The sequence below is a fragment of the Homo sapiens genome, chromosome 6 (assembly GCF_000001405.40).
Source record: "Homo sapiens chromosome 6, GRCh38.p14 Primary Assembly".
NCBI classification, from domain to species: domain Eukaryota; kingdom Metazoa; phylum Chordata; class Mammalia; order Primates; family Hominidae; genus Homo; species Homo sapiens.
This window is the reverse complement of record NC_000006.12, coordinates 80928643-80942622: the sequence shown is the minus strand read 5'-3', so window position 1 is coordinate 80942622 and position 13980 is coordinate 80928643.

The window sequence follows — 13980 nt, the reverse complement described above, 5'->3', positions numbered from 1 at the left end:
TGCTGCTGTTGTTGTTTTTGGTTCATTACTATTTCTTCGTCAAGTCTGTAAACTATTAAAGGTCAAGGGGCAAATCGGTTAGGCTGACAATGGGAGCCTAAAATCTATTTGTTGAACGCATAGAATGAATAAAATTAATGAATGAATAAGTGAATAAGTAAGTGAACAAAGATCATTGTATATTCTGCATTGATCTAATAATGAAGACAAATGTTCCAATAGCATCAGTGTGTGTTCATAATTGTTTTCAATGCTCTCAATTTATTTATTGGACAAATATTTATTAAGCACTTACCCTGTTCAGCAGAAGAATAATATGCAGACCACCACATATAATGATAGGGTCTTTGGCAATGATTTTTTGAGAGATCAGCAGGCTTCAGAACCATATAAATAGGCTATAGGACTGTGCAAAAAAATCAAACCAAACAAAACAAACAAGCCTAATTGTCCCAGAAGGTTCTAGGGATTTGGACTTTCAATACCATCTCTCGAAGCATCTTGTCAAAGAAAAAAATGCATCAGATAAAGTCAAGCAAGGAAGACTTTATTTAAGACTATTGCAATAGAGGACAGAGATTGAACCCAACTCCACTAAAACAAAAGGTGACTGGGTTTTTAAATTCTGGGGTAGATAGTGGGAAAAGTATAGTAAAATGTTAGGGGATAGATAGTCAATGTTAAGTCATCTCTGTTTGCTACTTTTAAAATATTAGGCTCCTATCCTTCCACAGAAACTGGAATATAGAGATGCCATCTTTCTTGATGATTACCTATCAAAGGGATAACTCCCAGGTCTTTGAGAAAGACATTTCTGGGTTGTAAAACAACTTTTCATCTCTAAGGGGCAGAGAAAGAATTTACAATGGAAAACTTTCCAAAATAAGTGCTCTAAGAAAGAGCCAAGGGTCTTAGGGCCAAGGGTCTGGAGAAACCCTGTCTAAAGTTCAGTCAAACCGAGGAGAATGTTAAGTCCATCGTGGCCAGTCCTAAGCAAACTAGGATGAGATGGTCACCTACTAGGTGTTAAGTGTTACACAGAACTTCACTAGAAATTTTCTATAGCTGAAAATTGTGATATTCACATTCAGCAAATTATCATGTAGATCTATGACTTTGTTCCCTTTGCAGGCCTACCAAGGAAATATTTCTTTTTCTTGAAAAGATATTTATCTTAAAATATAAGAAATGTTTTTGTTCCATGAAATAGGTTTTAAAAGTGCATAGTTTGGGAGCTTTTGTTGAGTTGTGCTAAAATGAAGGTCTCTTATTCATCGAAAGGCTTTAAACAGACCACAAACACATGCATACAAAACAAGTTCAAAGAATGAGTCTCTGTCCCATGATAGTTTTTCTGCAAAAAAAAAGTACATTTCTTAATTTATGGCCTAAATACCACTTGTTCTTTATAAACCTCATTTTAACATTGAATAAAATTACAAACTTGAGATTTTGCTTCTTTTGAAAACTTGAATTACAAGAATGTGACCACAAAGTCAACTTTGAACATTTAAACTCTGGTGATAAGGACATGATAATTTGTATGTGGCTTGAAATAGAAGTTCCATGGAAAGGAGTATTTTTGCTACAGTAAAAAATAAATCTCATAATTTGCCAAGTTAAAATGAGTCAGTGCTTAATGTAATAATGCATTGCATTGTTAGTTTCCTATATTTTTGATTCTTAGAAAGGTTCTGAGCTCATAGAGCAAAAGAGTTAGACCCTAGAAATGCACATAACCAAACACTGCTAGAGACAAAAAGGAAAACCTTTTTCCAGTGCCTGTGGCCAAATCATTGTCTGCTTGAGCCAAAAGAGTGGACATGAGAAAGAGCCTAGATATTTTTGTGAAGAACCAAATAATAAATTCTTGCAGTCACAATGAGGTCAACAACCTTCAATGTTTATTATATTAAAAGAGAGACCATCACATCATCAGTAGCTTAACACTACATTAATTTTCTTCGGAGAGTAAAAGAATGAGTTAGTAATTCCAGGAGGTTTCTTTTTCTTGCTAATTCCAGGAATTCTATTTCTCTGTGGTGTGTGTGTGTGTGTGTGTGTGTGTGTGTGTGTATGAGTGAGTGAGTGACAGTAACAGTTCTGAGAAACTATCCAGATGAAATAAAATTTTTTAAAGGTCACAATGGAGACAACTAGTATATTGTGAGTTGAGAGAAAAACAGCAAGCTGACAGTTTATATAACAAATAGGGTATGTTTGGTTAGGTAACAATATATCTAAATGGTTAATCTACTTTAACTGGTAAAATATTAGAAGAAGAAATATGTTGAAAGTCACAACTCAAAGAGTTTGTTTAAAAAATTATACATTTATTGAGTCATTAAAAAAATTTACTAACCATTTCTACATGTCCAGGCATTCAGATAGATGTTATCTGAATAGGAATGTTCTCAAAAGAAGTGAATCAAATAGATTCACATATGTATAATCACTCTAACACAACAGAAACTCAGCTGTTGCCCTCTTAACATAGATGGCAGATGTGTTTGTCAGCAGAATCACACTCCTAAATGCTATCTTCCATAAATAAACTTAAAGAGGCTCTGCTGTCTTTAAAATAAGGCCTCTAAGATACCCTGGAAGTTTTCTTCAGTTTCACTGACTGGAATGAAAAACAAACAAACAAAAACAAGAGGATTGCCAGGGACATTTTATGGGCCAGTGTTGTAAGTGACTCAAGTCTCATCTACTGACATTGCATCGAATACAACTGGTCACACGATCCCAGCTACAAGTACATACAAGAAAGCCTGGAAAAATTTGCCTTGTACCTCCCTTAAAAAACTCCGTAATATGGAAGAGGAAATATGTTTTTGGTGAACAATTAGCTATCTCTTCCACAATCTATCTCTCACCCCTCCAAATATCACTCTGTATTCCATTCATGAGGAAGTAATTCAAAGTCCAATCCAGTCACTGCATCCAGTACAAAGTCCAGGATATGCAGGAGATGCATGCTTTTTTTCAATTAGGTATAAAAGTGGCTTCTCATAATCTCGTGATGTCCACTAAAGCCATTTATTTTCATCCTCCAACCCCACATTTCCATTTTACAAGGTGGGTGGAGCAAGGATGGCAATTAAAACCCACTTTCGAAGTGTTAAAGAATACCAGATACACAGCAATCACCCATCCATAGCAATCATGGTATCCTCACTGGCAGTCATTGTAGAAGTCCCCACCCTGGCAGCGAGGGATGGTCTCTCATTTACTCAGATCTTATCTGAATTATTTGGAAGAACCTATTGTTCACCTATTGCCCAGAGCTACATCTAAAGAGGAATGTTGAAGGGTATGCCCTCTTTGACAGATTTCTCAGCTCCTTACTTGTTACACATACACATTAAGTAGCTAGAAAGTTGTTATAAGGCTTTAACAGTCAAAGACTTTTTTGGTTCAGGCTAATCATTTTTTGGAAACAAAATTCTTTCAAAAATGATAGGCTTCAGTCAGTACCAGATGCCTCCAGTCAGTATGAGGTGCCAGTAACTACAACTTAAATTTTATCCTGGACATACTTCTTAAGTCTGATTTATTTCTCTGCTTCCACATCTCTGTCTCTTTATGACAGCTACCTTGAGGCCATGTGAAACATTACACTTGAGTGGAAGGGAAGAATTTTTAACTTAAACTTTTCAAAACTGAGATCCTCTGCTTAATGAGAAACTTTGATGAACCTGTGTTTTTAGTCCTTTGTAAATCTTGTTTCCTACTATTTTAGTTTCTAGATCCTCTCTCTTCTCTTTTGTTTCTGTTCAAAAATCAGCTAATTCTTGCCCAAGCTAGTTTTTTTAAATACCTTCCATAGAGCGTCAAACAACCCAGGTTACTAACATTGTGCTCTCCAACCTCTTTTAGAACTACCAAATTTGGTGCACTTGCTCTGCCTTCTAAGTTGTTGAAGGCCATACTTCTCTGTATTCATAAGGGTAGACTAGCTGCCACAAAAATTATACTTTAAAGTGTATGCTGGCTTACAAGGGATTAGTTACATTTATGTAAAACTGTTAGCTAGGTGAACAGATTAGTGGGGCCACCCTTGTCCCCTCAGTTATCCAAGTACCCATTCTGATGGAGTCTCTTACATCTCCAATATGTTGTTTTCAAAGACACTTGTGGTTACCTTAATTCTAGCCCTACAGACAGTGGAGAGGGAATGAGGAAGCATGAGGAAAAATTTTAATAGCCAGACCTTGAAGTGGCACATGGCATGTCTGCTCATATTGCCATGTCCAGAACTAGGCACATGGCTCTAATTAGCAGCAAAGGGGATGGGAAATGCAATGCTTCCTGTGATGACTCTACACTTTGGAAGGGGGAACATGTTTTTGTTGGTGGATAATTACCCAAATCTGTTACAAGTTGTAACTTGATAGATAAGAAAAGGTGGAAGCCATCTGGAGGTTAGATGGGTCTAGTTCTCACTTGAAGGCACGTTCTAGGCAAAGCAAACTAGTATGAGAAGCCATGAAGTGGATAGATCTTGTTTTGTTGTTTAAATATCTCAGGGCCACTGTGGCTAAAGTATTGTGAGAAAAGGGGAAAAAGGGAAAGGTAATGCCAGAGAAGTAGGCAGAAGACAAATTAAGCTTGAAGAGTTAATAAATTTGAATTACATTCTAAGTATAATAATTTAGAGGTTAAGTTAAAAAAGAAAAGAAATTGTTGGAAAAAAATCATGGATAGGAGGCAGGACTAACTTGCAGCTCCCACTCAGACAGAGCAGTGTGTGGAGACGCATACTGTGAACTTTTGCTCCAAGTACTATTGCAGGAGCATACCAGGAAAGCCAAGAGAATGGCAGTATCACACTTCCCCACCTGCCATGGGGAAGAGAATGGCAGTATCGCACTTCCCTGTGGCAGGTGGGGAAGTGCGATACCTGAGAGCCTTACTTGCTTTCTCAGCCAGGAGGTTGGTGGCCTGGGGCAAGTTCTCAGCCCTGCTCATCAGCTGCCCGGAAATAAACTTGGTGCAGTTGTAGGGGCACAGTGGGAGTGAGACTGGCCTCTTGGGCTGCAGGAGAGCTGGATGAGGCCTGTAATTGCCGGCTTTACCCCACTTCCCTGGGGTGACACAGAAGAGGCAGCCATAATCCCCCTGGGAACATAACTCCATTGGCTTGAGAATGACACCCCCATACCCATAGCAGCCCAGCAAGCCCCACCCAAGAAGAGTCTGAGTTCAGACACACCTAACCCTGCCCCCACCTGATGGCCTTTCTCTACCCATCCTGGTGGCCAAAGACAAAGGACACATTCTCTTGGAAACTCTAAGACCCCACCCGCCACCTGATCCTCCCTACACTACCGCAACTCATGTTCTTTAAAAAGTGCTACCTCCTGGCTGGAGGCCAATCAACACAAAATTAGTGTAATAAACAAAACTAAAGCTAAGGACCTTCACAGAGCCCATTTTACTCCCCTGCCACCTCCACTAGAGGAGGTGCTGGTATCCACAACTGAGAGACCTGAAGATGGTTGACATCACAGTACTGTGCCTAAATCCCCCAATACCAGCGCAGAGCTTGGTAGCTCCACTGGATGGCTAGTTCCAGAAGAGAAATAACAATGACTGCAGTTCAGCTCTCAGGAAGCTCCTTCCCTGGGGGAAAAGGAGGAACACCACATCAAGGGAGCACCCCATGGGACAAAAGAGTCTGAATAGCAGCCCATGAGTCCCACATCTTTCCTCTGATATAGTTTCAAAAATGCGAAGGAACCAGAAAAACAATTCTGGTAGTATGACAAAACAAGGTTCTTTAACACCCCCAAAAGATTACACTAGCTTACCAGCAATGGATCCAAACCAAGAAGAAATCCCTGAATTGCCAGAAAAAGAAATTAGAAGGTTGATTATTAAGCTAATCAAGGAGGCACCAGAGAAAGTTGAGTCCAACTTAATGAAATAAAAAAAAATAATGATACAAGACATGAAAGGAAAAATCTTCAGTGAAATAGATAGCATAAATAAAAAGCAATCATATTTCTAGAAATGAAGGACACACTTAGAGAAATGTAAAATACACTGGAAAGTCTCAGCAATATAATCAAACAAGCAGAAGAAAGAACTTCAGAGATCAAAGATAAGATTTTCAAATTGACCTAATCCAAAAAAAAAGACCAAAAAAAAAAACTTTTAAAAAATTAACAAAGCCTCCAAGAAGTTTTGGGATTATGTTAAACAAACAAACCTAAGAATAATTGTTGTTCCTGTGGAAGAAGAAAAATCTAAATGTTCAGAAAACATATTTGAGGGAATAATTGAAGAAAACTTTCCCTGCCTTGTTAGAGATCTAGACATTCAAATACAAAAAGCTCAAAGAACACCTGGGAAATTTGTCACAAGAAGATCATCACCTAGGCACATAGTCATCAGGTTATCTAAAGTTAAGACAAAGGAAAGAACCTCAAGAGCTGTAAGGCAAAAGCATGAGGTAACCTATAAAGGAAGATCTATCAGATTAACAGCCCATTTCTCAGCAGAAACCCTACAAGCTAGATAGGATTGGGTCCCTATCTTTAGCCTACTTAAACAAAACAATTATCAGCCAAGAATTTTGTAATCAGTGAAAGAAAGCTTCATTAATGAAGGAAAGATACAGCCTTTTTCAGACAAACAAATGCTGAGAGAATTTACCACTACCAAGGCAGCACTACAAGAACTGCTAAAAGGAGCTCTAAATCTTAAAACAAATCCTTAAAATATACCAAAATAGAACCTCCTTAACACATAAATCTCACAAAACATATGCAACAAAAACACAATATTTTTAAAAAAACAAGGTATTCAGGCAAAAAATAGCACAATGAATAGTACCTTACATCTCAATACTAACATTGAATGTAAATGACCTAACTGCTCCACTTAAAAGATACAAAATGGCAAAATAATAAGAATTCATCAGCTAAGTATCTGCTGTCTTCAGGAAACTCGCTTAACACATAAGGACTCACATAAACTTAAGGTAAAAGGTTGGAAGAAAATATTCTTTGCAAATGGACGCCAAAAGCAAGCAGGAGTAGCTATCCTTATATCAGACAAAACAAACTTTAAAGAAACAGCAGTTTAAAAAGACAAAGAGGGATATTACATAATGATAAAAGGACTTATCCACCAGGAAAATATCACAATCATAAATATATATGCACTTAACACTGGAGATCACAAATTTATAAAACAATTACTACTAGATCTACAAGATGAAATAGCAACAAAATAGTGGTGAGGGACTTCAGTACACCACTGACAACACTAGACAGGTCATCAAGACAGAAAGTCAACAAAGAAACAATGAATTTAAACTATATACCAGAACAAATGGACTTAACACATACTTACAGAACATTCTACTCAACAACTACAGAATACACATTCTATTCATCAGCACATGGAACATTCTCCAAGGTTGACCATATGATAGGCCACAAAACAAGTCTCAATAAATTTAAGAAAATCAAAATTATATCAGGTACTCTATCAGACCATAGTGGAATAAAATTGGAAATTAACTCAAAAAGGAATACTCAAAATCATGCAAATAAATGGAAATTAAATGATCTGCTCCTGAATAATCACTGGGTCAACAATGAAATCAAGATGGAAATTAAGAAATTATTTGAACTGAATGATAATAGTGATACAATTTACCAAAACCTCTGGGATAGAGCAAAGGCAGTGCTAAGAGGAAAGTTCATACCCTTAAATGCCTATATCAAAATTTCTGAAAGAGCACACATAAACAATGTAAGGTCACACCTCAAGAAACTAGAGAAATAAGACCAATCCAAACCCAAACCCAGAAAAAGAAAAGAAATAACAAAGATCAGAGCAGAACAAAATGAAATTGAAAAAAGAATTACAAAAGATAAATGAAACAAAAGCTGATTCTTTGAAAAGATAAAATTGATACACCATTAGTAAGATTAACCAAGAAAAGAAGAGAGAAGATCCAAATAAATTAGAAATGAAACAGGAGCTATTACAACAAATACCACAGAAATACAAAAGATTATTAAAGGCTACTATGAACACCTTTACATGCATAAACTAGAAAACCTAGAGGAGAGGAATAAATTTCTGGAAATATACAACCCTCCTACATTAAACCAGGGAGAAATAGAAACTCTGAACAGACCAATAACAAGCAGTGAGATTGAAATGGTAATAAAAAAGTTGCCAAGAAAAAAGTCCGGGATCAGACAGATTCACAGCTGAATTCCAACAGACGTTCAAAGAAAAATTATTACCAATCCTATTGATACTATTCTACAAGACAAAGAGGGAATCCTCCCTAAATCAATCTGTGAAACCAGTATCATCCTAATACCAAAACCAGGAAAGGATATAAAGAAAAAGAAAACTATAGACCAATATCCCTGATGAACATAGTGAAAAAATCATCAAAGAAATCCTAAAATCCTAACTAACTGAATCCAACAGCATATCAAGAAGATAATCCACCATGATGAAGTAGGTTTCATACCAGGGATGCAGGGATGGTTTAACATATGCAAGTTTAACATATGATACACCACATAAACAGAATTAAAAACAAAAATCACATGATCATCTCAATAGATGCAGAAAAGCATTACAAAATCCAGCATCATTTTATGATTAAAGCCCTCAGCAAAATCGGCATAAAAGGAACATACCTCAAAGTAATAAAAGCCATCTATAACAAACCAACAGCCAACATAATACTGAAGGAGGGAAAGTTGAAAGCATTTTCCCTAGGAACTAGAAAAAGACAAAGATGCCCACTCTCACCACTTCTATTCATCATAGTACTGGAAGTCCTAGCCAGAGCAATCAGACAAGAAAAAGAAATAAAAGGCATCCAAATCAGTAAAGTAGAATTCGAACTGTTGCTTTTTGCTGATGATATGATAATATACATAGAAAACCCTAAAGACTCTGCCAAAAAGTTCCTAGAACTGAGAAATGAATTCAGCAGAGTTTCAGGATACAAAATTAATGTACACAAATCAGAAGCTCTGCTGTAGACCACAGCAACCAAACCAAGAATCAAATCAAGAACTCAACCCCTTTTGCTATAGTTGCAAAAAATAAAATAAAATACTTAAGAGTATACATAATCAAGGATGTGAAAGATCTCTGCAAAGAAAGCTACAAAACACTGCTGAAGGAAATCATAGATGACACAAACAAATGGAAACACATCCCATGCTCATGGATGGGTAGAATCAATATTGTAAAAACGACCATAATGCCAAAAGAAATCTACAAATTCAGTGCAATTCCCATCATAATACCACCAACATTCTTCACAGAACTAGAATAAACAATCCTAAAATTCATATGAAACCAATATGAATTTTGAGAGTGCATAGCCAAAGCAAGACTAAGCAAAAAGAACAAATATAGAGACATTACATTACCCACATTCAAACTATACTATAAGGCTGTAGTCACCAAAAGAGCATGGTACTGGTAATAAAAAATAGGCACATAGACCAATGGAAGAGAATAGAGAACCCAGAGATAAAGCCAAATACTTACGGTCAATTGATCTTCAACAAAGCAAACAAAACATAAAGTGGGGAAATGACAGCATATTCAACAAATGCTGCTGGGAAAATTGGCAAGCCACATGTAGTAGAATGAAACTGGATCCTCATCTCTCATTTTATATAAAAACTCAAGATGGATCAAGAACTTAAAGAACTGTAACCATAAAAATTTTAGAAGATAACATCAGAAAAACCCTTCCAGACATTGGCTTAGGCAAAGACTTCATGACCAAGAACCCAAAAGCAAATGCAACAAAAACAAAGACAAATAGATGGGGCTTAATTAAACTAAAAACTTCTGCACAGCAAAAGAAAAAGTCAGCAGAAAAAACAGACAACCCACAGAATGGGAGAAAATCTTTGCAATATATACATCTGGCAAAGAACTAATATCCAGAATCTACAAGAAACTCAAGCAACTCAGTAATAGAAAAACAAACAATCCCATCAAACAGTGTGCTAAGGACATGAATAGTCAGTTCTTAAGATATACACATGGCCAAAAAACATATGAAAAATGCTCCACATGACTAATGATCAGGGTAATGCAAATCAAAACCACAATGCAATACCACTTTACTCTTGCAAGAATGGCCATGATCCAAAAATAAAAAAAATAATAGATGTTGGTGTGGATGTGGTGAAAAGGGAACACTTTTACACTGCTGGTGGGAATCTAAACTATTACAACCACTGTGGAAAACAGTGTAGACATTCCTCAAAGCACTAAAAGTAGAACTACCATTTGATCCGGCAATCCCTCTGCTGGTTGTCTACCCAGAGGAAAAGAAGTAATTACACAAAAAAAGATACTTACACACTCATGTTTATAGCAGCACAATTCACAAATTCAAAAATATGGAACGAGCCCAAATGCCCAACAATCAACAATTGAATAAAGAAATTGTGGTGTGTATATATATATATATATATATATATATATATATATATACACACACACCATTGAATACTACTCAGCCACAAAAAAGAAAGGAAACAATTGGCATTTGCAGAAACCTGGATGGAATTGGAGACCATTATTCTAAATGAAATAACTCAGGAATAGAAAACCAAACATCATATGTTCTCACTCATAAGTGGAAGCTAAGCTATGAGGATGCAAAGGCGTAAGAATGAGGAAATGGACTTTGGGGACTCGAGGGAAAGGAGGGGAGGGGGATGAGAGATAAAATATTACAGATTGGGTACAGTGTACACCGTTCAGGTGATGGGTGCACCAAAATCTTAAAAATCACCACTAAAGAATTTATTAATGTAAACAAACATCACCCATTCCCCCAAAACCTATTGAAATAAAAAACTGAAAACCTGCTAAGGATTGCACAGAAATGTAAAAAAAAAAAAAAAAAAAGAAAGAAATGAATTATGCTCAGTGTTTCAGGTAGCATGTTTTAAAAAGAGCTTTATTGATATATGATTTGCATACAGTACAATTCATCCATTTGAAATGTGCATACAGTCTAGGTGTGGTAGCTTACTCCTGTAATCCCAACACTCTGGGAGGCCGAGGCAGATGCGTCACTTGAGCCCAGAAGTTCAAGACCAGCCTGGGCAACATAGTGAAACCCCATCTCTACAAAAAATACAAAAATTAGCTGGGTGTGGTGGTACATGCCTGTAGTCCCTACAACTACCTGGGGGAATGAGGCAGGAGAATCACCTGGGCCTGGGATGTCAAAGCTGCAGTGAGCTGTGTTCATGCCACTGCACTCCAGCCTGGGTGACAAAGCTAGACTCTGTCTCAAAAAATATTAAATAAAATAAGTGTACCAAAAAATTGTTAAATATTTTAGAGATCACGAGAGTTAAAAAAATATATCTGTTTGCTGTAGACAGAATGGTGATAGATGTGAGTATAAATATAAGACAATCATAGTAGTTTTGATAAGATGCTAAGGGAAGTGTAGAAGAGAAGCAGCGAAGGATTTCACCATCTCTTCCAGTAATTAATTATGCCCAATGTGCATTAATCAGTCTTTCAGTGAAGCATGAGAAAATGGCATCTAAAAATTAAGGTTTCTTAAACCCACCCTTAGAAGCAAGTTTATCATTAGAGCAAATAATATAATCTTAAACATTTTTTACTCTTTCCCCTATAGAGATTTACCTTTCTGTTATTATTTACCTTTTTGTTAGAGATTTACCTTTTTGTTATTATTTCTTCTTATTAAATATATAGGTATATTTTTCTTAGTTGGCGCTTCCATATGTAAGGATTAGAGGATTATGGATAGTGTAGGAGAGTGAATATTTTCATATTTCTACATGGTTAGAGCTTTAAGATAAAAGAAAGCTAGAATTTGGATTGAAGGATAAATCTTAGCAGTTAAAAGATGACTGAACAAATAGTGAAAGATCATGAAAAAGATTTAAATATTTTATCTTCTTGGTGTTTACATTTCAAAGGATGAAATCCCTTTACATTCCAAAAGGACTTAAAACATTAGGGAGCAAAGATTTCTCTCCTTTTCTCAGGAAGACAGGGGGCACTGTGTAGATTATATTTAACTCCCACATTCATAGTTGGAGCTTTCTCTCCTGCAGTGCAAAAAATTCTTTGCACATACATGGCTCAGCTGGCCCTCACTGCATCACCCCAAAGAGGTAAGTATGAGACATCAAGAACTAATGTAGCTATTGCTATAAGTGATAACACTCTGTCCTTGATCTGGAAACTTAGTGTTTGCTTTGCCAATAATATAAGTAAATATAGGCAATAAAATTATATCAGATTGATCAAAAGTGATCTTTTTGACAAATAGGTGCCACAGATGGATTAAAAATTATCTAAGGAGAAATGGACACAAAAGAGTACCATGTACCTCTAAGAATGGCATCCATAGAATAAAGCTCAGAACAAATTGAGACTTGTGAAGAGTAATAGGAGCAATATAAAAGTATTTGTAGACATTTCTTAAGCAAGAAGATGAACAATGAAGGGGAAGAGTCTATAATGTTAAGAAAAGACAAAAAGAGAGTAGTCTGTTATTAAGGAAAATAACTTTCAAGCAAGGCACTTTAACAGTTAATTATAATAATACCTTTGTAGAATTTTAGAGTTTTTGGGTGAATGTTTGGCAGGTTCTAAAATTTTGCATCCCATTTATTATCAATAGTGTCTTGTGAATCAGGATAATTTTAGCCAAAACAGACTTGATTTTATTTCACATTTTAATCAGATGGAAAGCTATATGTATGAATTCGAACAACAGAATTATGATTCAAAATTATCTCAGCTAGGTAAGCCAAAAATAGAAGTTTGAATGTAACTGACAATTTTTCACATGGAGTTAGAAGACTACTTACAAAATAGAGGAACTAACAGTATATTTGAAGCTGTCTTTGGAATGAGAACCTAACTTATTTGTCATAAAAGATGGACTCTTAGCTAAAACATGGTGTTACAGGTTTTGGTCCCAGAAATATCACTCAATGGCTAAGACATGTAGAGGAAGACACAGAGTTGTCTAAGCCTATGACTTTTTCACTGTATGTATAATATCAAATTCAGGACAGTTTCAGAAGTGTGTTTGGTTATTGTCATTCCAGCTTTACAACATTGTCTCCGGTTTTAGAAGGTTCATTTTGGAAGAGACAATGGCAAACAAGAGAGTATCCTGAGAACAACAGCTAGGACATGGCAGAAACCAAAAGCTAAGTAATGAGACTCATTTGAAAATTGAGTACTTTTAGCCTAGAATGCAGAACACAATGAACAAGAGATATCCACATAAAACAACATTATATTGACATTAAAAGGTCATGCATATGAGGAAATACAGGTAAGAAATTTAAATTCAAATGAGGTTCCTGACAAAGGCTTATAATTTAAAAAAATTAAATGAGGTATATTAGTTGATTATATGAATTGAACATTTAGAAAACAATGACATAGATTAGAATAATTATAGTAACAAACACCTCAAATCCATTATTTTAATGCAAAACTGCTTGAATTAATTTTAAAAATTGGAAGTGTTACCTTATGGACAACCAGTTTTGCTACAGAGGAAAATGCTAGAACCAGCAAGTAGATGTCTGTAATATAGCGGCATAATTTAGACTAATAAAAGAAAATCTTTTAAACTCTGAAAAGAATTCCCTTAGAAAAGAGTGCCAAATCCCCGGAAGTGCTTAAGCTAAGGCTGGAAAACCATCTAACTGGAGATGGGATTTCTGTAAGATAACCTCTAAGACCTTTTCCAAATAAAATTCATTATTTTATTAAATAATGCAAGCCCATGTGGAGAAAAGGTCAAAAATACAGAAATATCCAAATATTATTAAAGTATCTAGTAAAATTTGTAAAGGATAATGTTAGAGTAGAATCTGGAAATCATGCTTCTGGAAAGATTTTCAGAAATGCAAGAATCAATGAATACTAAATGAATTTTGCAAG